General features: G+C 38.1%; 1 protein-coding gene across 10 annotated transcripts in view; it reads right to left on the bottom strand.

Moving 5' to 3' along the window:
- Positions 1-25,807, bottom strand: part of ARMC3 (armadillo repeat containing 3) — a 110,471-nt gene that overhangs the window by 59,525 nt on the left and 25,139 nt on the right. For 6 of the 10 annotated variants that reach the window (NM_173081.5, NM_001282745.2, XM_005252381.3 and 3 more), the window contains 5 exons: positions 23,067-23,192; positions 19,861-19,929; positions 19,425-19,600; positions 16,921-17,115; positions 10,510-10,693 (listed from right to left, as the gene is read on the bottom strand). In NM_173081.5, the coding sequence (NP_775104.2) occupies positions 10,510-10,693; positions 16,921-17,115; positions 19,425-19,600; positions 19,861-19,929; positions 23,067-23,192 (750 nt within the window). The remainder of the gene's footprint in view (positions 1-10,509; positions 10,694-16,920; positions 17,116-19,424; positions 19,601-19,860; positions 19,930-23,066; positions 23,193-25,807) is intronic. The other 4 variants (XM_005252380.4, XM_017015831.3, XM_017015833.3 and 1 more) reach the window with 2 other exon arrangements.

The raw sequence follows: 25,807 nt of genomic DNA, 5'->3' as shown, positions 1-25,807 counted from the left end.
TTTGGGCTTTCCACAGTTGAGATGCATGTTAAAAGTTTACTCAACAAACAACACTTAAAGAAAGTGTGTTTATGAGTTTGGACGTTTCGACTGTGTTTCTGACATACAATGACAATGCATGACCTTGTCTAAAAAAATATTCTTATGATGATGGAAAGTAAAAATAAGTGTATAAATTGCTATTGATAGTTACATTGTATAATAACAGTATAAGGAGCAATATTTGTCAAAATCTACTTATAAATGGAGTTTTCTAACTGTGGGAAATTTTTTAAACTTCTTCATGATTATATGCTTTCAATACAGGAATATTAGGATATAGCTTTCTTATTCATTGTTAAGTTTTTAAGAGTTTGCCACTGTAACTAATATAAAATAAGACATGTCTGATGAAGCTGGCTGTGTCTGGCAGATAGAGGTCAAAGCAGGCAGGAGTTTATATACAAAGTAGACAAATGATATGGTTTGGCTGTGTCCCCAAACAAATCTCATCTTGAATTGCAGTTCTCGTAATTCCCACATGTTGTGGGAGGGAACAGGTGGTGATAATTGAATCACAAGGCCAGTTTCCCTGATCCTGTTCTCCTGATAGTGAGTTAGTTCTCACGAGATCTTATGGTTTTATCAGGGGCTTCTCCCCTTTGCTGGGTATTCACTCTCTCCTGCCACCCTGCAAAGAGGTGCTTACTGCCATGATTATAAGTTTCCTGAGGCCTTCCCCAGCCCGGCAGAACTGTGAGTCAATTAAACATTTTTCCTTTATAAATTACCCAGTCTCAAGTATTTCTTCATAGCAGTTTGAGAACAGACTAATACAACAAGAAATACAGGTAGGACCTGAAAAGAAGGCAGAATCTAGAATCCAGGCAGGAGGAAGAGGTGGATATGGTAGATCTGGCCAGATAATAAGAGTTAAGAGGTAAATAACCAAAATAGAGGAGAATAATTAGGCAATGACAAAGATTTAACCTATCTTCTAGCACTGGCCTCAAAGATGTTGGTTCTGCCCTAATATTGTGTTCTGGTCAGAAGTGGGCAGTACTGCCCAAAAATGTCATGGCTAAGGCAGATCAGAGTCCTTAGGGGAAATCCTGCTTCTGGAATGGAGAGATTTTCTCAAAGCTCTGCACTTCCAATGAGAAGAGCATTCATTCATAATAATTTATTGGGATATGTGAACAGAGAGAAAGTTTGAATCTTCGTGGAATCATCTATCTTTCTAGAGGTTCCAAGAATCAAGCTTTCAGACCAGATATCTCCTAGGCTATAAGAAAATTAAACCACCTCTGCATTCACTGAATTTGAAGACCTACCTGGCATACTTTTTCAGTTTTTGTAGAGTTGCCAAAGATGAAAACAATTTAAGAAGGAAGGAGGCTATGTCAGAAGGGATGGAGGAAGATTACCAGTTGAATAAGTTGAATTATAAAATGGAAGTTTGCACAGTAATAGAGGAAACCTGCAAGACCATGGTGAAGGAGCCCGACTTTAATACAGATGGGCAGTTGGTTGAATGATGTTAAGGTAGATCTGGGAAATGGAGGTTCTGCTCAGCAATGGAAGTTAACTTTTGTGCTGTGCTTGCTTGGTATTCCAATGAGGGCCGGGTTACTTTAGTTCATGCACAGGTTGTTGCTTTAATCTACCATAGTGGGAACAGGTGAAGGTCTGGTGTGAGAAAACTGGTAGCAGATGTAGAGCAGAGTGGGCTATACTAGGTTACAGCACGAGGAAGCAGGTTTTTTAATTTCTTAAGGACAGAAAGAGAAACCAGTTATTTTATTGACACCTTGAAAATTAACAGAATTAGAAAATTTGAGATTTCCTCTAAATCTAGCCATTTGAAGAACATGGATACCAATAGATCAAAACAGCATTTCCCAAACCAGAATCCAGACAAAAGGCCCAAACCAGAGCAAATGAGTATAAAATTATGGTCGAACAAAGTTATACAATCCAGACCACAAGGGAGAGTTTCTGAGGAAGAACAAATTGATAACCAATGGCCATGTGCTTGTGTAAAATAGAAGAATCTCTGATGCCAAGTGGGGCTATCTGGATTTGATCCTGCTTATTCTAGCTCAAGAGTTATTCAGAAGACAGGTGGGCTTCAGGCAGTCCGTGAACTCCCTGCAATTATATGCAGAATGTAGTGTATTTGTGCATTTTCAGAAGGTTACTCTTTGTTCAGATTGTCAAAGAAACTTAACACTCCCCAAAGTGGAGTGTGGGCAGTATAGTTGGATGTGCTTGGAAGCTGTCAGAAATACAGGCAGGAATTCAGAAGACAGGTCAGAATTAGAAACAGATTTGGGATTCATAAGCAAATAAGGAGGCAGCTGAAACATTAGTCATAAGTAAGAGTGCTCAGGGAGATTTTCAAGAGAACAAGACATAAAACAGAAGGCAAGTTTAGGTTGAAATAAGCTGAGGAAAGTGGTAAAGGTGAAGGCTGGTCTGGTAATTTGAAGAACAATCAGGAGAGAGGGGTGTTTTGAAAACGATGGAATAAAAGAGTTTACAGGAGGAGAGGGCAATCAGCAGTGTGGATTCCCACCCAGAGGTCACGTTAAAAAGGACTGAAAATGCCTCTGCAGGATTTCGGAGTTGAGAGGTCAACGTCAAATTGTACAAGGACTATTTTGGCAGAATGGCAGAAACAGAAGTCAGGTGCAGCAGGTGAAATGATGGAGATGAGCTGAGGAGATGTGGCTATTTAAAATGGACTGATCTGTCAAAGAGGTTGATAAGAAAAGGAGAAAAAGAGGACCCTGGGGCAAGGGGAAGAGAGGAAGAAACAAATTTCCACAAGTCACCCAGGCCACAGACAATGAAGGGCCTCTTAGAAAGCTCTGAACTTATATCACCTTCCTCTTATATAAACCAGTGGGATCAGGAGAATCGAACTCTGGCGTTGCAATACTGCATTATGGGAAAGTCTCCTCCTCATCCACAATTGGGCTAAAGGAGTCCACTGCCCTTTCAATTGATGGGAAAACAGGCAAAGGGCACCCTGTAGGCTTCATCTATTCATTAAAACTAGGCCCAGGTAGAGTCCTCTGCATTCCATGATGAGCATTAAAAACCAAAATTATGAAACACTGCATAGAAAGGAGAACAGAGATGGTCTAAAAATAAGTATTCATGAGGAAAAAAGATTAAGTGAAACAAAAACAAGAATCCAAAGTATAGTGGAAAAAACTAGCTTCCTGAATTAGGGGAAAAAATCATGACTCTGGAGATCAAAAGGCTTGCCTGTGTAGTGGAGACAGTGGAGAGGGGGACTTAGACATATTTCGGCAAAATTTTCAAACTCAGGATAAAAAATTCTACCTTAATACAGCAAAAAAATCATATATGCAAAATAATGCAAATCAGGCTTGAACAATACAAAAGCAATCTTCATAGATAAGCTTTTCATTTTTGTTTTTTTGAGATGGACTTTCTCTGTTGTTGCCCAGGCTGGAGTGCGATGGTGCGATCTTGGCTCACTGCAACCTCCACCTCCTAGGTTCAAGTGATTGTCCTACCTCAGCCTCCCGAGTAGCTGGGATTACAAGCATGTATCACTACACCTGGCTAATTTTTTTGTATTTTTAGTAGAGATGGGGTTTCACGGTTTCACCATGTTGGCCAGGCTGGCCTTGAACTCCTGACCTCAGGTGATCCACCCGCCTCGGCCTCCCAAACCGCTGGGAGTACAGGCGTGAGCCACCGTGCCTGTCATCACTTCCATAGATATTTAAGGAGAAATGTTATGATGCAACAATTCCAAACCCAGTTAAATTGTCATATATGTTTGAAGGCAACAAACCTATGCACAGGTAAGGTAAGGTCTCAAAGCATATCACTATTGGATATACCTTAAAAAAATTTTAACTGAAAAATATACTCTGGTTAATTTGAGAAATGAATCAAATAAAATCTTAAGGACAGGTAAGCTTTATTATGAGAAATTGACAGCACACACTGAAACAGATTCAATATGTATATAACTCTAAATGACAAATGTGGTTAAAATTGAATGTAATGACAGTGATTCTTAAAAAAGAGAGTCTTGGCCAGGGTGGGGCTCATGCCTATAATCCCAGCACTTCGGGAGGCCAAGGCAGGTGGATCACTTGAGGTCAGGGATTCAAGACCAGCCTGTTCAACATGGTGAAACCCTGTCTCTACTAAAAATAAAAAATTAGATGAGCATGATGGCACGCACCTATAATCCCAGCTACTTGGGAGGCTGGGGCAAGAGAATCACTTGGACCCAGGAGCCGGAGGTTGCAGTGACCTGAGATCACTCCACTGCACTCCAGCCTGGGCAACAGAGCGAGACTCAGTCTCAAAACAAACAAACAAACAAACAAAAAAAAACAGATTTTAGAGAGGGGAATCTATAACCTCTTATTGATCTTAGAAACATCAGAAAGGGAAAGAATTGTGGAAGCAAAATTGCTAAATATCTAAAATAACTATAGTAACTTTATCTTTAAAATAACTGTTTATAAAAGTTTTTAAAATCTATACAAAGAAATGAACAGCATAGAAAAATAAACAGAAAGCATAAAACATAAAACATGATGTCAGAAATAAGGGTGAATATAGTAGCTATAAAAATAAATCTAACAATATTTATTTGCCTTGCCTTTTGGACCTAGTGGTAGTGAAGATTTCCCAATATTGCTAATCTCTGGGGACCTCATCATCTCTTGCTTATTCCCTTAACCCTAATTATACTTCTGAAAGTAGTTCCTTCATTTGTCTCTTTTAAAACCATCAGGAGTCTCCAGAATTTTTTTTCTGCCAAGACCATGTTTGATAATACATGGTAATCTTAATATCAAATTAGAATCAAAAGCTAAAGAGCAATAAAAGTGAGATTTAAAAAAATCAGTAGTGGATAAAAAACATAAAGTGAAGTCATTTAATATAAAATTACAAGAGAAAGGCCGACCGCGGTGGCTCACGCCTGTAATCCCAGCACTCTGGGAGGCCGAGGTGGGTGGATCATGAGGTCAGGAGATCAAGACCATCCTGGCTAACATGGTGAAACCCCGTCTTTACTAAAAATACAAAAAATTAGCTGGGCCTGGTGGCAGGCACCTGTAGACCCAGCTACTAGGGAGGCTGAGGCAGCAGAATGGTGAGAATCTGGGAGGTGGAGCTTGGAGTGAGCCAAGATCGCGCCACTGCACTCCAGCCTGGGTGACAGAGCGAGATTCTGTCTCAAAAAAAAAAAAAAAAAAAAAAAGAAAGACAAAGAAAAAATTACAAGAGAAAATAAAAATAATATAGTGGGAAACTTCTAACATACTACTCTTCATCTGTGACAGATCATATAGCTAAAAAAAGAATAAGGATAAAACTGTACAATATAATTTATAAAATTGAACTAAAAGATAAACTCTGCATTCTACAGGAAATATATCTTTTTGTCTATTCAGAAAATATTTATTCATTCCATCCATTGTTTATCCTTATCTTAATATCCTTAATATAGAAATGAATTGCATATGATAAGTGTTTATTTAAATAGTAAGCAGAGTATGCCTTTCCAAGATTTAATAGAACACTTGTACAAATAGATCCTATACCAGGCCTCAAAGAATATGCAATACTAGTCCAAAGCAAAGTTTGCATTTTTAACTATAAATCAAAGATGTTAGGATTTATTATTATTATTATTATTATTATTATTATTATTATTATTAAGGGTCTTGCTCAGTTACCCAGGCTGGAGTGCACTGGGATGATCACATCTCACTGCAGCCTCAAACTCCTGGGCTCAAGTGATCTTCCTTCCTCAGCCTCCCAAGTAGCTGGGACTACAGGTGCACAACATCACGCATGGCTCATTTAAAAAAAATTTTATGTAGAGATGGGGGGTCTTGCTCTGTTGACCAGGCTGGTCTTGAACTCCTGGTGTCAAGTGATCTTCCCACCTCAACCTCCCAAAGTGCTAGGATTACAGGTGTGAGCCACTGTGCCCAGCCCCAAAATGTTACAAATTAAAATGAGGAACTTTGAGCTCTGGGTACTGACTGAGAAAGATGATCTGGGGGCTCCCTGCAGGTCCTTCCCTCAAAGGGTTGGCCCAATATGCTAATGTAGTTAAGAGACTAAAATACTTGCTGCATAAGACTGAAATGGAAAATAATGATAAATCAACCTATCTATAGATAATATAAAATGATGGTGCATACTTTTAAAATAGCTTTCGTAATACTTATCAACACATTTCAAGGAGGGTATAATAAACAAGAGGAAGTCCTGAAGAGGTAAGAAAATGATCCCAGGATGGCCTGGGGACATGCGTGGAGAGAGACTAAACAAGATCTGAATTCTTCGGTCTGAAAAAGTGATGTTTGAAGGGAACATAATACAATCACAGATGACATATATGAAGTAAATACAGTTAGTCATTAGATTCTAACATAAAGACAGGAGACACAACTTGAAACTGGAATGTAGTTATTTTAGAACTAACAAAAGGAAGTAGAATCAGAAAACATTAAGTGCCAGAAAGGATTTAAAGACTATCTGCTTGAATTCCTTTCTATTACAAATAACCAATTTCAACAAATGATGCTAGGAAAAATTTATGTCTACATGAAAAAGAACGAACTGGGACCATAATTTTATACCCTATATAAAAATAAACTCAAAATGGATCAAGACCTAAATATAAGAGCTACAGCTACAAAACTCCTAGAAGAAAACATAGGGCAAAAGCTTTGATATTTGGTAATGAGTTATTGGATATGACACCAACAGCAAACAGCATAGCCAACAAAATAGATAAATTGGAATGCACCACAATTTAAAACTTTTTGCATCAAAGCACACAATCAACAGAGTAAAAAGGCAAACCACAGAATGGGAGAAACTGTTTTCAAATAATATCTGATAAGGGGTTAATATCCAGAATATATAAAGAACTTCTGTAACTTAGCATCAAGAAAACAACCCAATCAAAAAATGGGAGAAGGACTTGAATAGATGTCTCCAAAGAAGATATGCAAGTGGCCAGTAAGTACACGATAAAGATGCTTGAAGTTGCTAATCATTAGGGCATGCAAATAAAAAGTACAATGAGATAGCACCTCACGCCCATTAGGATGGCTACTATCAACAAACAGAAAATAGCAAGTGTGGGCCAGGATGTGGAGAAATTGGAACTCTTGTGCATTGGTTATGGGAATGTAAAATGGTACAGCTGCTACAGAAAACAATATGGCAGTTTCTCAAAAAAATTAAAAATAGAGGACGGGCATGGTGGCTCACACCTGTAATCCCAGCACTTTGAGAGGCTGAGTTGGGAAGATTGCCTGAGGTCAGGAGTTCAAGACCAGCTTGGCTAACATGGTGAAATCATGTCTCTACTACAAATACAAAAATTAGCTGGGTGTGGTGGTGCGTGCCTGTAGTCCCAGCTACTCAGGAGGCTGAGGCAGGAGAATCGCTGGAAGCCAGGAGGTGGAGGTTGCAGTGAGCTGAGATCACACCACTGCACTCCAGCCTGGGTGATGGAGCGAGACTGTCTCAAAAAAAAAAAAAAAAAAACTAAAAATATAATTACCATATGATTCAGTAACTCCACTTCTAGGTATATATCCAAAATAATTGAAATCAGGGACTCAAAGAGATATCTGTATACCCACATTCTTAGCAACATTATTCACATTAACCAAAAGGCAGATGTAACCAACTGTCCATCCATGGTTGAAAGGATAAACAAAATGTGGTCTATACAGGCAATGGATATTCTTTGGCCCTAAGAAGGGAGGAAATTGTGACACATGCTACAACATGAATGAAACTTAAGGACATCGTGCCAAGTGCTATGCATTTGCAAAAGGACAAATGCTGTATGATTCCATATATATGAGGGATCTAGAGTCATCAAATTCATAGAGACAAAGAATAGTGGTTGCCAGGAGTTTGTATGAGGAAGGAGTGGGAATGATTGTTTAATTGGTATACTTTTAGTTTTGCTAAATGAAAAGATTTCTGTGGATGGACAGCACCACAAAAATGTGAATACATTTAATGCCACTGAAATGTACACTTAAAAATGATGAAGACGGTAAATTTCATAGTATTTGTATTTCACCACAATTTAAAAAGCAAGAATAGGATTGATTCCTTTTCTTCAAGCAAAACCGCTCCCCTTCTTGAGTTCTTCAGTTCTGTGAGTGGCACCATTTTACTTCTAGCTGTCTAAGCCAGAAACCTGGCCTCATCCTTGGTATCGCCTTCTTCCTCTTTCAACCAACATAGTCATTCAAAAATACTCACACATGTGCTGGTGGTTCTCCTTGCAAAGTGCCTTGAGCCAGTCCTGAACACCGCATCTCTGTTTCAGGGCACCTTCACATCTCACCTAGATTACTACAGCAACCCCCTTTTGGTCTTCTGTGTCTGGTCCTAAACATTTCCAATCTCTTCTCCACTTTGCAACACGAGTTCTCTTTCTTTAACAAGTGAAAATCCATGATGTTCCCTCCCTTCTGAGTAACTTCAATGGCTCTTTGTTGCCATTAAAATAAAGTCCAAAATCCTTAACTGGGCTTATAATGTCCATGAGCACTGGGCTCCTCACCACGTCCATAGCCTGAGCGCTCAGTGTTCTGTGGCTTTCTGGTCATTGGCCATTCTGAAAACTTTCGGTTCTGGAACTTACCATGTTATCCCTCCTCTGGCTTTTATACACCCTGTTCCTTCTCAGAACCACTTCTCCTCCTCCATCCCATCTGAACCTTCTTTGACCAGACAATTTATCTTATTTACTCTAGGTCCTAGCTTGTTAATCACTGATTTCAGAAATATTTTTCTGATCCAGGTCTGTGCTGGGAGCCTTCCTGGGTGATCCTGTGTTTCCATCATTAATCACTTTGAACACTGCATTGTAAGTGCCTGTTTACTTTCCTGTTCTGGGTGAGAACTCAGTAAGAAATCATGAGTAAACGAATATATACATTGTTCTGGAGAAGTTATAGTTCACTCAAAATCACTTAAGTAGGTCGTTACAATGCCAGTAGTGGAACTAGTACTAGAACTCTAGTACCAGGAACTCTGCAGCATACTTTCCAGTACTGTGGCACATGATGGGTAGGCATCATCAAACTCACCACCTCAAAATGAGTGAGAACAGTCTTAGAATGACCCAGCCACATTTGATACATATAAATACTCTCCAAAGAGATGCTGAGATACGCAAACATTTCAGGTTTGGCATTGTCCGTGTCTCCCCATTTTACTTCTCTTCGGGTCTCACTTAGCTAAGAAGAACTAGGATAGAAGGAAGAGAGAACTGACCAGCTAGAATAATGTCTAAGTTCCATTTGATAGAATACTGGGTAAACCAACTTTTGCCAATATGAAGAAACCTTGATTTCACAACCAGTCTCTCAAATAGGCATTTATAATGTAACTCATGAGGCCCCTCTATGCACACTACATACTGGATGGTGAAATCTTGCTTACTGCATTAAAGCTTTGTCCTGAAGAAATCCAGTGTGTGCTGAAAATGGAGTGTTTCCCATAGTATACATATCAATATACAGATGTGAGTATATATGTTTAGAATATAAATCACTTAAAATAGTCAATGCTGTCATCATTTCTAAAAGTGGTGCAGAAGGGGAAAAATAAGATCACATCTTTTATTAGATAAAAGACTCCAAATATACATAAATTAAAACTATAATTTCATCTGTGCTTGTGCTGTAATTAATCTCTCATATTTTACAGATTTATATCAACATAACTTGTCACTGAAATGCAAATTGTATTATGTATATAGTATGAGCATATTTTTCACAGCTATGTAACATGGTGCTACTAGACTCCAGCTGAAACTTGAAAATTACTTTATAGATATCATTGTGAATGTGGATTTCTTCAATGCTCTCAGGTTCACAAACAATGCATACCTTCTATATAATTCCAAATTCAAGTGAAACAAAGGCTTAAAACTTAATGTAGAAATGAATTGTATTTTGAAAAATAGGATAATGAAATCATATTGAGTTCTTCATATCCCTGACAAATCTCTAACTCATTGGAAGTGAGATGAGTTTGGACTTAAGTAGTAAATATAGCACTATTCTCAAATGGTTTTTTAAAAGCAGACAAATGCTCTAGTGTTGATTAGTACTAATCAAAATTGAGACAAGAGGAATTATATATGTTTTGTTTATATAAAATAAGACATGGCAGGGTGCAGTGGCTCATGCCTGTAACTCAGTCAAAGTGGGCAGATCGCTTGAGCCCAGGAGTTCTAGACTAGCCTGGGCAACACAGCAAAACCCTGTCTCTACAAAAAATACAAAAATTAGCCAGGCATGGTGGTGCATGCCTGTAGTCCCAGCTACTAGGAAGGCTGAGGTGGGAGAATCACTTGTAACCTGGGGAGGTTGAGGCTGCAGTGAGCTGTGATCACGCCACAGCACTCCAGCCTGAGAAACAGAGCAAGATCCTATCTCAAAATAAATAAAATAAAATGAGACATACGATCATAAGCTGCTTTAGTAATGGCTTTTGCTGCATTCTTCTGAATATCAGGAATTGTAGAGTTTTCTGCAAATGACAGGAGCTTTTTAAGACCCCCTGTCTGCTGAATCTGCACCATAGTATCCATGTCTTCAAGGCAATTGGCTATCACTGCAAGTGCTTCTATATGAAGGTCATTCAATTCCTAATAATAAAAGCAAATACAACTTTAGAAAGTTGTACTAAAATGTACACTTCCCAAATTTGACTACAAGAGGAAATAAAGTCAGTCAGAACACAATGTCATGATTTTTGTTGTGACAGAGGCCCCAGGGAATAGGAGTTCTGCTTATCAAAGTAACATCACTCTTCTTGGCCATGTGCCCTGTCTTTTCTCCTTTCCCTTACTCCAAAATGTTTTATGGATAAAAAGTAATGCTAGGGAGGAAACTTCCAGAAATGGTAGTCAATGAAGTTGCTCATACAGTCTTCTGCAAAAAACAATTTTGAAATCTGGAGAAAACATTTTTTGAAAAAGCAAGACAGAAGCTGATGAAAATATATACTTTAAAATAATTTGTGACTATAACAGAAGTATTGCGAGTGTGTGGCCGTCTTGCCTGAGGAAATCTACTGAATCCCCACAGGCATGGAAAACTGCGGTTTTACCTAAATAGCTAGAAATGTAAACGGGAAATCCCAAAAGTGAGAAATGCTCAGAAAGGATAATCCACCATCATGAAGGGAAGGAACTCACTTTCACAGCAAATACATTGTGGCCAATGTTCATGGAATTCACTGGTTTTACCATGTTTCCCACCATCCTGAAGCAGCTGGCTTGATAGAATGGCCTTTTGAAGACTCAGTTACAGCACCAACTAGGTGGCAATACCTTGCAGGGCTTTGGCAAGGTTGTCCAGAATGCTGTATATGCTCTGAATCAGTGTCTACCATATGGTGCCGTTTCTCCCATAGCCAGGATTTGTGGGTCCAGGAAGGGTAAACATCACCCAAGGATTTTGCATCCTCTTCTGGGGTAAGCATTGGGAAATATTTGGTTGTTTATAGGATAGTTGTATCACGTTAGCTAAAAGTATGATCTCATTATTGTCTGAAGATTATGATTTAAGAGGTATATGGGTACCAAATTGACAAGGAGAAAACCTGTGATGAATTTTTATCTGGGCCACAGTACCCAGATATTTGGCCAAATATTATTCTAGATGTTCCTGTGAAAGTACTTTTTATATGAGATTAATGTTTAAAACAGACTTTGAGTAAAGCAGATTACCCTCCATGATATGGGTGGACCTCATCTAATGAGTTGAAGGCCTTAATAGAACAAGGCTGATCTACCTGGCCACAGAGGGAATCCTGCCAGTACAGCACCCCTGGACTCGAATTACAACACTTCTCTGGGTCTTCAGCCTACTGGTCTAACCTGTGGATTTTGGACTTGCCAAGCCTCCAAAATCACATGAGCCAATTCCTTAAAGCCACTACCCACCCCCGCCCCCAAACACACACCCATTGATATGGTTTGGCTCTGTGTCCTAACCCAAATATCTCAAATTGTGATCTCTAGGCAAATTAAGTAACATAATCCCCACGTGTCAAGGGAGGGACCTGATGGGAGGTGATTGGATCATGGGGGCAGTTCCCCCGTGCTGTTCTCATGACAGTGAGTGAGTTCTTATGAGATCTGATGGTTTTATAAGTGTTTGACAGTTCCTCCTTCACATGGTCATCTGCTGCCATGTAAGATGAACCTGTTTCCCCTTCTGCTATGATTGTAAGTTTCCTGAGGCCTCCTCATCCACTAGGATCTGTGAGTCATTTAAACCTCTTTTCTTTATAAATGACCCAGTCTCGGGCAGTTCTTTATAGCAGTGTAAAAATGGACTAATACACCCATATACACATGCACATGTACAATATACATGCATCCTGTTGGTTCTATTTCTCTAGAGAACTCTAATATAGGGTATAACCCAAAATCTGAGTATAAACTATGCCCAGACCTCTGGCTGACTACTAAACTATACATGCGTGGAGAAGACCCCAGGGACCCTGGTGAAAATAAACAGGCAAGGACTAGAAAGCATATCTTCTCCTTGAAGAGGGAGCTGTGCTAGGTGAGATTGATTAATTTACTGCTTTTAAATACAGTGCATTCCTCAATCCATGTGCAGCTCATTTGGCAGAATGCTGAAGCCTTACTGGTCTGAGGTGTCAGAGGTCAGAGCCTGAGACTGACAGAGGAGCCACAGGTGACCAGCAAACTGCAGAAGCTCTGGGGAGAACTCCATGGAGTCAGGCTAAAAACAGCAGCAACCAGAAACTGTAAGAACTGAGCAGAGATACCAGCTGCACCACTAGAGAGACAAAGTGTGTAGCTCACTGCCTAGTACAGCAAAATAGCCACAATCCTCAGAAGGACACAACAGAATCTGGAATCACTAGAAAGTATTATCTACAATGCTCATTCTTAACCATGCAAAGAAGAAACAGGAAAGTGTGATTCAAAGTCAGAAAAAAGTCAGTCAATAGAAATCTACTCTGTTAGGGACAGGTGTTGGTGAATTAAGTAATTAGAGACTCTAAAGCAGCTATGATAAATATGTTCACAGAGGAAAGCTCAATAGAGAAATGAAACTTCAAACATGGAAATTTAAGACTTGAAAAGTACAAAAACTAGAAAGAAAAATTTACTAGGTGGACCAAACGGCAGATTAGAGATGCCAAAATTGCATAAATTGAACAGAGATCAAAAGACGTTATTTAATCTAAAAAATTGAAGAAAAATGAGCAGAGCCTTAGAGTCCTGTAAAATATCAAGCAAGATAACATATATGTAATTGGGTTCCGGAGGGAGAGAAGGAATGGAAAAAAATATTTGCATAAATAATGACTGAAAAATTCCATGATTGGCAGAAAACACTAATTTACAGATCTAAGAAGGTCAAGCACCCCAAGCAGGATATATAATTATATCACTTCCATGCAGAAGAGAAATGCAGAAAGCCAAAGATAAAGAGCAAAGTGTTGAAAGCAGCCAAAGAAAAGTGACACATCACGTACAGGAAAATAGTTCAGCTCAATGGCTGAATTTTCATCAGAAATACTGGCATTCAGAAGAAATTTAAAAATGCTGAAAACAAAACTAGCAGCCAAGAATTTTGTATCAAGCAAAAATGTCTTTTCAAAATTAAAGGCAAAAGGAAGCAACTTCCAGATAAATTTAAAAGACAGAATTTATGCCATTATATTTACACTGTAAGAAATGCTAAATGAGGTTCTTCAGGTTGAAGGGAAATGACCCTGATGACAACATGGATCTACAGGAAAAAATGAAAAGCATCAGAAATCATACATATGTGAGTAAATATAAAATACTAAATATTGATAGATGAATATATGGATAGGTACTACACAAACACATATGAACATATAATTCTTAATATCTTAACACATGATATAGGACTCTTCAAAACAAAAAATTATTACATTGTATTGTTGGGTTTGTAATGGACACAGATATAAAATATGTAACAATATTAAGAGTAGGAAAAGTAGAGATACATTGTTAAAAGGTTCTAGTATTTTACTTGAAGTAGTTCAATATTAACTCTAGACTATTATAAGTTAAAGTTAAGTTGCGTATTGTAATCACTACAGCAACCACTAAAAATAGAACAAAGAAATACGGCAAAAAAGCCAAGAGACGAATTAAAATGTAACACTAAAGAAAAAAAAAAAACACTACGGGGGGCCGGGTGCAGTGGCTCATGCCTGTAGTCCCAGCACTTTGGGAAGCCAAGGCAGGAGGATCACCTGAGGTCAGGAGTTCGAGACTAGCCTGGCCAACATGGTGAAACCCCTCCCCCCAACCAAAAATACAAAAATTAGCTGGATGTGGTGGCACGTGCCTGTAATCCCAGCTAGTTGGGAGGCTGAGTAGGAAAATCACTTGAACCCAGGAGGCAGAAATTGCAGTGAGCAGAGATCGTGCCACTGCTCTCCAGCCTGGGTGACAGAGCAAGGCTCCATCTCAAAAAAAAAAAAAAAAATTAACACTACAAAAGGCAGGAAGAGAGGAACTGTGGAATAAAACAGATCAGACAAATATAAATGGGAAGCTTAACTATAACCAAATCAATAATCATATGATAATTGAAAACTAATCAAAAGGTAATTAAGTGGAAACTGACATATTAATATGTGTTCAGTCCATATACATATATTATCTCTTTAGTTCCTTTTAAAAAGTGTTTTATATTTTTCAGTGTATAGATTTTGCAAAAAGTTTGGTAAATTTATCCCCATGTAGTTCATATTTTAGGAAGGTATTATAAGTTCAATTGTACTTTTGCTGTTTTGTTCATTGCTCACATATAGAAATATGATAAATTTTTATGTATTGAACTTTCATCCTTTGACCTCGATAGATCTATTTATTAGTTCTAGTAAGTTTCTGTAGTCTTCTTAAGATTTTCTGTATAAATGGTCATGCAATCTGAATAAATACAGTTTTACGGCTTCCTTTCCAGTTTGTTAGTCTTTTTTTTTTTTTTTTTTTTTTTTTTTTGTGTGTGTGTGTGTGTGTGTGTGTGTGTGTGTGTGAGACAGAGTCTCGCCCTGTTGCCAGGCTGGAGTGCAGTGGTGCGATCTCAGCTCACTGCAACCTCCGACTCACGGGTTCAAGTGATTCTTCTGCCTCAGCCTCCCTAGTAGCTGGGATTACAGGCACGTGCCACCATGCCCAGCTAATTTTTGTATTTTTAGTAGAGACGGGGTTTCACCATGTTGGGCAAGACGGTCTCGATCTCCTGACCTTGTGATCCACCCACCTCAGCCTCCCAAAGTGCTGGGATTACAGGTGTGAGCCACCGTGCCTGGCCCCAGTTTGTTAGTCTTTTGTGTCATTTATTTATTTATTTGGGCTTATTGCCCCGGTTCCAACTTCCAGGACAATGCTGAATAAAAATTATGGGAGCAGACACCTGTGCCTTCTACCTACTCTTAGGTGAGGATGTGGAGAAGAATTTTGATGTTTCACTCTCTATATTTTTGTGTTCTTTGAATTTTTCCCACTAGAATATATACATATATACATACCAGTTCTTAAAAAACCCTTCTCACATATTTCCTAGCTCTAACCGTAGGCAAGTTATTCAACCTCTTTGAGAGGCATTTTTCTTATTTGTATAATAGGATTAACACTATAATAGGTATATATGATTATATATGTAATGATAGAATTATTATCAATACTTTCATTTTATAGATAAAAATACCATCACATTCCTCAATGAATTACAAATTTAATAAAATCACAATGCCTGCCACCTAGTAGGTGCTTCCATCCCCTTTCCTAATTAAAAGAAGACAGGTAAAATATCAGATAGGTGAGAATACTATGGCATATCAGATAAACCCTGTGGTTAGTCACTTTCTACCTGTGTGACATAAGGCAAATTAAGTAACATTTCTGGTTTCAGTTCCCCTTTTAAAAAACAGGATAAAATGTGTACTATATAGTGTTACTAGGATTTTGCATCACAAGTGTAATTATAGGGGATCACATATGGGATCCACAAATCAAAGGCGGGTAGGTCCACATGGCTGGGAACATGCTTGTGCCATCACTGCTCTTTTATATTGTACTTCATTTTCCCAGTGTTGTATCATCAAACTGAGTTCTGGTTTTTTTAGAAAAAAATTTAACAATTGGATAGTTTGAAACAGAATACAAAGTTACCACTCCGTTTTTCTCCTTCAATATGTTCCTATCTCTGGAATTTCTAAGAGGTACTTCAAGTAGATTTCTGTTATTAGAATTAATTGAATTTACTAAATATTAAAGTAGGGATACTGGATCTGAAATCTGTTTATTACTGTTTCACTAAGGAATTAGTGGCGAAAGACACAGGACACATTCAGAAGAGATCTGAACCACTCAAGTCAATTAAACGGTTTTCAATAAACTGCTAGATGAGTTTTTCTAACCAGGAGATCCCAGAAGGCACAGACATTCTTAAAGTTTGATTCTTAAGGAGCTTATTAGCAACTATGGACATTTAGCTCCAATATTATTAAAAGGTATCTAGAAGGTAAATTACGCTTCTGCTTTATCCCAGAGAAAACCATAATGAAGGTTAAAAGACTCACCCTAGGTGTTTCAGGAAATCAAGAGGAAGATCATAGACAAGAATTTAAAAACCTTAAGTCTGCTAAACTAGAAGATTTTTAAAATTAGTTTATAATAGTGTCTACAATTAGCCTGATTTAAGCAGGCCAATAAACTTTATGTAGCAATAAGCAAATTAATCTATTACACTTAATACACGTTAAGTATAATAAAATTTCATTTTTAAACATTTGGGAGAGATACATTTCCTCATAGAGGGTGGAATGAATGAAACTAAATACCTTAGTTTCTAGGATCTTAATAAGATGGTCCAATCCTTGATTGTCTCTTAGCATTGTTCGAGACTCCTTATCATTTGCAATAACACCTAAGGTTTTGAGAGCCAACAACTGAATCACTGGATATTCTGACTTCAAGAGATCTAAGATAGGAGGTATTGCATTTAGTTCTTGAAGTTTAGCTCGACACTGAAAATCCTGCCACAAAATACAGATGATCAATAATTTTTTTAAGCAAAATACATCCTCAAGAATGGAGAAATTCTGTTTTCTAACACAAGAACATAAGTTATAATTTGCCCATCTTTTATTCCAGATTCCCTTCCAAAATAACTCAAAAAATAAGAAATCTTTCAATTGACAACATCAAAATTTATTTTAACTGTAATATGTAGACATTGTCTACAACAGAAAATATACATGATCTATGACTTTTATCTATTGTTTATTATACAGCAAATCCTGATTAAACAGCAGTATAATAAAATCTATGCATAATGAAATTCTTCTCACACTTGGATATACTGCTTCAAATAGTAATTAATGCAATGAAATGGCATTGATTCCTTATTCTCTCATTCAAATGGATTGTTTATGAAATACCTATTAGCATGCAGTACTGTTGACAGGCCCTCTGCATGCAAATTTACAGCGGGTTTATTCAGATACGTGACCTTTATTTAAGACATTTACACAATCAAGGGGTCATTGTAATCTAGACAATTGTTGTGCCTCTATGTCTATGATTCTGTGTGAGTGAAGAAGTGGGTGGTTGGGGGAGTTTAAGAAAACAAGCCAAGAAGCCATGAAAAGCTCCCAAACTCTTTTAAGACATGACACCTTTGATCAAAACATGGTAAATATAAAATAGTACTAAAGGTGGAAAAGGCTCCAATTATAGCTTAGCTTTCCCCTGTCCATCCTTCAATTGATTGCTAATATTCAGCTTCCTTTAGACACAATTGTAGATTGCTTTTTGTCATGGGTTGAATTGTGTTCCCCCAAAATATATGCTGAAGTCCTAACCCCAGTACCTCATAATGTGACCTTACTGAAAACAGGGTCATTGCAGATGCAGTTAGTTAAGATGAGGTCATCCTGGAGTAAGGTGGGCCCTTAGTGGTGTCCTTGTGCAATTAGTGTCCTTAGGAGAGAGAGACAACAGAGGGAGAGCTTGCTGGGATGCAGCCACAAGCCAAGGGATGCCACCAATGGATGGCCACTACATGAAGCTGGGAAGAGGAGAGGAAGGGTCCTATCTGGTCTCAGTGGGGACGCGGTCCTACTGACACCTTGATTTTGGACTTCTGGCCTCCAGAACTGTGACTGTCTGTAGTTTTAAGCCACCTAGTTTGTAGTACTTTGTTACAACAGCCCTAGGAAACTAATACACAGTTTTTAGCCAGTACTGCTGTTAAGAATTGTGAGGTAATCATTTTGATTTCTTCTTAAGACAATAGAGAAATACTGCTCTAAGGAGTCTTGGGATTTAAAACACAAACACACAGGAATATTTAATCAAATGAGGTAAAGCCAAAGTGACCGGAGAAGGGAAAAGAGGGGCTGAGCTTCTTTCTCAGGGTCTCTTTTTTAGGGAGGGAGGGGTGAGGGTGAAACCAGTCCTGTCGAGTAGCAATGGCATACTGGGCCAGGAATTTTGCTTTTGCTGCATTTTGACATGAGCCTATTTGTCCCTCTTTGCCTGAATACATTGCCTCTGCATTAATCCTCTTCTTCACTCTCGTTTTGGTATCTCCTCATTCCCTACTCTATTAATGGCCATTTAAAATTTGTGTCTTTCCAATTTCAGGTGATCTAAAGCTCATCAAATGTGCATGCTAATTGTTAAGGAATCTAAGCAGCAGAGAAGGCTGTTCAAAGTGTCAGGAAGCTGACCTGCTGTGGGCGTGAGGGTGTGTGTGTGTGTGTATGTGTGTGTATTCTGGGGGTTGGGGTGCAAAGGACAGGACTGCAGGGGAGGGGAAGGTTGGCAGTTTCTTTCCGTGACAAAGGAAAACAGCACAGTGAGGTAGCATCTTGCTATTGTGGACAATGAATTCTGTCCTGCATACTCAAAAATGAAAAATCACTAGATTTTTAGCAACAAATAAGCCTAAACCAAAATCTCAGTACATTGAATAGGGTATATATTACATCCAATGTGCTTAGACCACCAGGGTTCAGTCAATAGTAGCTGCGCAGTTTCCACATATTAGATTTCCTGTTTCAAAAGAAGTACATTTTATTTGAATGCCATTCTATTCTTTAAAAACAAATACATTTCCAAAATACTTTTTCACAGGAGACAATGACTTACAAAATGTGAAAATTGAAAGATTATCTACATTAAGCTTCCATTATTTTTTTCTCTGAATGATAAATACCAGTAACAAGAAGATCTGATGATGCAAAACTGGTGCATTTTTAAAAGCTTTTTTCTATTTTTAATGGGAAAATAAATTCTAAAATGAGCTTTCATCAGAACGCTTTTTAGAAATTAATCTTACCTGCACCAAGTTGTAAATGCATTCCATAGAGTTCTTCTTTACATCCGGGTCAGGGCTACTCAGTAGTCTGATGAGTGGCTCTAATCCCCCATGTTCAAATATTTGCACTTTACTGGTGTACTCTGCAGACATGTTTGCTAGACAAAGACTAGCAAACTCATGGATAACTACTTCTTCTGTGTATCAAAAATAAATAACACAAGTATGCCAACTGCTTATTATTCAGCCACTACTTTAAAATATGCTTTGGAAACCAAAGCTCCACAAATTGTATCTTGCTTAAAGCTCACCTCTTTTATAAACTCAAAATTGAGCTGTGGTTTGAGAGATTTTAATAACACTTTACAATATTTCATGAATGATTTTCAATATATAGTTTAATCAAGTGTAAAAAACCAGTTCCATTTTTTAAAACAGATATAGAATGCAAAGTTACCTTCTGGAGCGAGCTGGGCAATGACAGAATTCATGACATCTAACTCCCTTAACAATTTTTTAACATCATCTACAAAGGAAGAAACAGAGTATTGATGTTTATTAATAATAATAATAGGCCGGGTGTGGTGGCTCATGCCTGTAATCCCAGCACTTTGAAAGGCTGAGGCGGGTGAATCACTTGAGGTCAGGAGTTCGAGACCAGCCTAGCCAACATGGTGAAACCCCTACCCTACTAAAAATAACAAAAATTAGCCAGGTATGGTGGCTTGTATCTGTAATCCCAGCTACTTGGGAGGCTGAGGCAGGAGAATCGCTTGAACCTGGGAGGCAGAGGTTGCAGTGAGCTGAGATCACGCCACTGTACTCTAGCCTGGGCAACAGAGTGAGACCCTGTCTCGAAATAATAATAATGATAATGGTAGTATCTACTGAACAGTCCCTTATGAGACAGGTAATATTATTATCTCATTTTACAGATAAGGAAATTGAGGCTCAAAACCACAAAGCAAGTGGTGGGGCAGGTTTCAAGCCTAGGTAGGGCCAACCCCACACATTCTCTAGCCTGCCTATATTCCTCGATCATGAGCTGTACTTCCTTCTAAGACACTAGAAACAACCATAAAAGTGCAAAGTGTGCCTAGAACACATATCAGAAGAGTTGAGTCACTGTGCCCTACGTTTATTTATTGTGTAATAGTAATCTGTGTGTGTGTTGCTGGGAAGGTATTTTTAAATTCTGATTTTAATAAATCTTGTACAGAATGCAAGTAAGATTACCCAGCCTATTTTAATTAATACATCTTGATTGCTTACATTCAATTTGATTATTAGAAATGCCAAAAATGCTTAAAAATAAGTATATTGACTGTTTTAAAGTACATTTTTATACTATTTTTGTCAGCCTAATTAAAGTTAGACAGGTATGCCTGTGTGCAGGGCTCTAACCTCAGTTCCACTACTAACCACCTGCATGATTTGGGGCAAATAAACTAATGCTTTGAGATATATATCCTACTTTTAAAATAAAGAATTGCATAAGACATATTACAAAGGTTTGTGTGTGTGTTTTTGTTTTGAGACAGGGTTTCGCTCTGTCACCCAGGCTGGGGTGCAGTGGTGTGGTCATGGCTCACTGCAGCCTCAATCTCCTGAGCTCAAGCAATCCTCCCACCTCAGCCTCCCAAAGTGCTGGGATTATAGGCGTGAGCCACCATGCCTGGCCACAAAATATTTTTGTTTCTCAAATTCAATGGTATGTAAGTAGAATAAAACATAAGAAATAAAAAAATCTTCCCTTTTTTGATTATAATTTTCCTTTTTTTGTTTTTGGTTAAACATTCATTATGATACTAACATAGAATTGTTACACAGATAATCCTTGTGATAAATTTAGGAAGGCCCATAATTCAATTGAGTACTGCCTTATTTAACTTCTGTATGCCTCTGTTACCTCAGATGTAAAGGGAATAATAATAGTACCTACCTCACAGGGCTGTTAGATAGGATTAAATGATTTAATATATCAATAGCACTTAGCACAGTGCCTGGCCCCTTGTCAGTGTATGTTAAGTGTTAACTAGTATTACCATAGTCTAAGTTGGTGGGTCATGCACTCCGCCATGACTGTCCTCATCCTGTTGCCATCTCCGGAAACACTCCCAGGCCCCTGCCTTACAGCACAACTACCATCAGAGCTCTCAAAGTCACTGCCTTCCACTGACCCCTCGCACAGGGCCCCATCTGCTTCCAGCACTGCAGCTGCCCGCAAGTGCAGTCTCTGTAGCTGAGGCTGTAATGGCACAGACGCCACACAAAACCGCCCTTCCACGTCTCTCCCCAACTTCCACTCATAACTGTCCCTGAACACACTCATACCACAATCCCTGCTGGACAAGGAATAAGGAGGCCTCACTGTCATCACACGGGGTCCAGGGAAAATGGCGGGCGGTGGATGGGCAGGAAGACTAGGAAAGAATCCGTGCTTGTGTTTTGCTGAGATTATCATAAGACGGGGAAAGTATAATGATTTTAGCCATGTACCACGATAGGCATGTGTTTAGTCAGAGCAGCCTAAGTTTCATGTTAGAATTCAGTCTCCACTAAGAGTGTCATTTAAAATTTATTATGAGTTACAGGGTTTTTGGTGGCTGACTCAAAAACTACTATTAGAAAATGACAAGGAAAATATATCCTGTTCATAAGTCAGAGACTGCGTTTATTGGCATGGTGTTCAAACTGATATTCTAATGGACATAATAGCATCTTTTAACTAATATTATACCATCATATTATATGATACTAATACGTTATTTAATATATAATATATAATTACATATTAATATATCATACTAATATATTAATATATTGATATTAATTGTATATTGATATTAATCACATATTAATGTTAATTATGTACACATGATTAATATTATTCAATATATATTATATATTAATATAATAATATGACATATATGATTCCAAGCAAGTAATAGGTCTGATTTAAGGAGTAAGTGCACTTTCTAAAATTTATTCTTTTGAGACAGTCTCACTCTGTCACCCAGGCTGGAGTGCAGTGGCGCAATCTCAGCTCACTGCAACCTCCACCTCCCGAGTTCAAGCGATTCTCCTGCCTCAGCCTCCCAAGTAGGTGGGATTACAGGCACCTGCCACTATTCCTGGCTACTTTTTGTATTTTTAGTAGAGACGGGGTTTCACCATTTTGGCCAGGCTAGTCTTGAACTCCTGACCTCAAGTGATCCACCTACCTTGGTAAACGCACATTTAAATTTATCTTTTGCAAAATATAGTTTGCAGTTTCAAAAAAAGAGTTTATCAAAACTCTTTAGGCTTTGTTCACTATGAAATATACATGAAATGTAAGATACATATAGGCAGGCAAATTACATTACACTAACTCAAGAAAAATAATTTTAAGAGAAAATGATTGCTCTCTCAGCTTGTAGGACTACATCACCAATTCTGAGAGGAGTTTTTGCATGGATGTGCTTGCACATGTTTTCTTATTTTAAAATTATCCCTTAAAATGTGAAATCACACATTTGCTGCATTATACTGATAAAATGTTTTTGTGAACATGAAAGTCAGTTTAAATAAAATTGAAACAAATTCCTTAATGTTAAATTTAAAAGAATGATAATGCATTAACATGGGATTATTTGATTATTTTTAAAAGTTGATACTTACTATTAGAAGCCAGGATTCCAAATATCATAGTAGCATTTCTTCTTACAATTTTGTCTTCATGGGTGAGTAGCTTAGTTAAAGGTTCCACAGCTCCAAGTTCAAGGAGGGTTGTTTTATTTTCCTCACCTGACATCACACGTAAAACAAAACCACACATGGATATTATCGATCTCATCAGCATTCTGCCTTGTGCCATTCCAATTTCTTATTTGCCATTTGCCTTTCACATTACTCTTGGCTTCCGTTCGTATTTCCCTCAGAATAAACTTCAAGGACACACATCCCGGACATTTCCTCCTCTCCCTTCCCCTGTTTACAAAGCTGGCTTCATCTTGTCTTCAGTTCTGAGCTCACATTGCACCTCCTTGGAGCAGTCCCCCGCAATCACCCTATCTAATTCTGTCACCACATCCAAGTCTGTCTTACCCCTCTTTATCCTGCTGTATTTTTGTCATATCACTTAACAACCTCTGTGTTTTGCTTGCCTACTCCACGATAACTCTCCATAAGGACAGATGCCCTTTCTGCCCTATTTTCTCATACCTTTGGGTGCCTAGGACAGTGCCGGTCATGTAACAGACACTCAACAAATACTTCCTTGCATAATTAATTAGTTCTAGCCCTTTTTTGTGGATTTGTTAGAATTGTCTATAGATGTCATCACATTAATTTTATGTGCCAAAGCGACTGAGCTAAGGGATGCACAAATAGCTACTAAAACGTTTCTGGGTGTGTCTGCAAGGGTGTTCCTGGAAGAGATTAGCATTTGAATCTCTAAACTGAGTAAAGATGTGAGCTCACCAATGTGAGTGGGCAATATCCAATCTGTTGAGGGCTTGAGTAACAGAGGGTGTAAAAAGGAAAAATCCTCTCTCTTTTTGAGCTGGGACTTCCATCTTCTCTTGCCCTGGGACATCAGAGCTCCTATTCTCAGGCCTTGGAACTCTAGGACTTTACATCAGCTTTGGTTCTCTGGCCTTAGGACGCAGACTGAATTACACCCCTGGCTCTCCTTATTCTCCAGCTTGCACATGGTATTGTCGTGGGACTTCTCAGCCTCCACAATCATGTGAGTCAATTCCCATTACAAATCTTTTCATATATATCTACATATGTCCTATTGGTTCTCTTTCTCTAGAGAATCCTGACTAATACAATGCAAAAGATAACTGTAATAATAGAGAAAACAAATTGAGGAGGGGTGTTTATGGGAACTCTACTTCCCATTTTTCTTTTCTTTTTTCTTTTTTTTTTTTTTCTTGAGACAGGGTCTTGCTCTGTCACTCAGGCTGGGGTGCAGTGGTGTGATCATGGCTCTCTGCAGTCTCGACCTCCTCGGCTCAAGCGATTCTCTCACCTCAGTCTTCTGAGTAGCTGGGACTATAGGCAACCACCAACATGCCTAGCTAATTTTTTTTTTTTTCGAATTTTTTTGTAGAGATGGGGTCTCACTATGTTTCCCAGGCTGGTCTCAAACTCCTGGGCTCAAGTGATCCTCCTGCCTCAGCCTCCCAAAGTGCTGGAATTACAGGCTCCACAAGACACTGTGCCTGGCCTCATTTTTCTATAAACATAACATTGCTTACAGAAAAAAAGTCTAGAAAATTTTTTTAAAAGATATTCTACAAATTGTGAGAAAAATTCTGCAAATATATGTCTGATACAGAAGTAAGGGATGTATATCCAGAATATATAATTTCTAAAACTGAATAAGAAAACAACCAAATTTTAAAATATATGTGAACAAATGATTTGAACAGATACATCACCAAAGAGGATATACAATGACAATAAAGTACATTTTTCTCTCCATCATTAGTCATTAGGGAAATGCAAATTAAAACCGCAATGAGATACCACTTCACACCCACAAGGATTGCTGTAATCAAAAAGATGGACAGCATCAAGTGCCAGCTAGTGTAGAGAGAAACTGGAACCCTCATAAATTGCTGGTGAGAATATAAAACAGTACAAATCACTTTGGAAAATGGTTTGGCAGTTTCTTAAAATGTTGATGTACACCTACCATATGACCCAGGCAAACTGTGGTAAATCCATATAATGGTAGCAATAAAAAGAAATGCTACAATATGAATTAATCTCAAAATAATTAGGGTGAGTGAACAGAGCCAGATTATGTCATCTTCTATAAATCAAATAGAGATAGTTCTATCCCTTTTTCTAATCTGTGAGAAAGTTTTTAACTACAAATTTTCTGGATGCCTTCTATTTCTTTTCCTTGCCTGATTGCATTGGCTAGAATCTCCCATACAATGTTGAATAAAGGTGATGATAGCAGACATCCTTCTCTTGCTCCTGATCTTAGGGGAAAAGCATTCAGTTTTTTACCATTAAGTGTGTTGTAAGCCATAGGTTTTTTTTGTAGATATCTTTTATTAGGGAGAGAAAGTTTATATCTATTCCTACTTTGCAGACATATTTTATCAGGAGTGGATGTCAGATTTTGCCAAAAAGGTTGTTTTGCATGTATTAAGATGATCATATGGTTTTTCTTTTTTCTTTTAAAAAAATATATTTTTTTCTTATTGCTGCTGTAATAACAAATCTAGTGGTTTAACAACACAAATTTATTATCTTATGGTTTGGAAGTCAGAAGTCTGATATATATCTCAGTAGGTGAAATTCAAAATGTTGGCAGGGCTATCTGTGCTCCTTGGGAGCTAAACCCAATGGCAGAATCCATTTCCTTTTCTTTTCCAGGTAGCATTCCTTGGCTAGTG

The sequence above is a fragment of the Homo sapiens genome, chromosome 10 (assembly GCF_000001405.40).
Source record: "Homo sapiens chromosome 10, GRCh38.p14 Primary Assembly".
In the NCBI taxonomy this organism is placed as follows: domain Eukaryota; kingdom Metazoa; phylum Chordata; class Mammalia; order Primates; family Hominidae; genus Homo; species Homo sapiens.
Note: the sequence above shows the minus strand (reverse complement) of the source record. Positions and strands in the feature narration are given on the sequence as shown.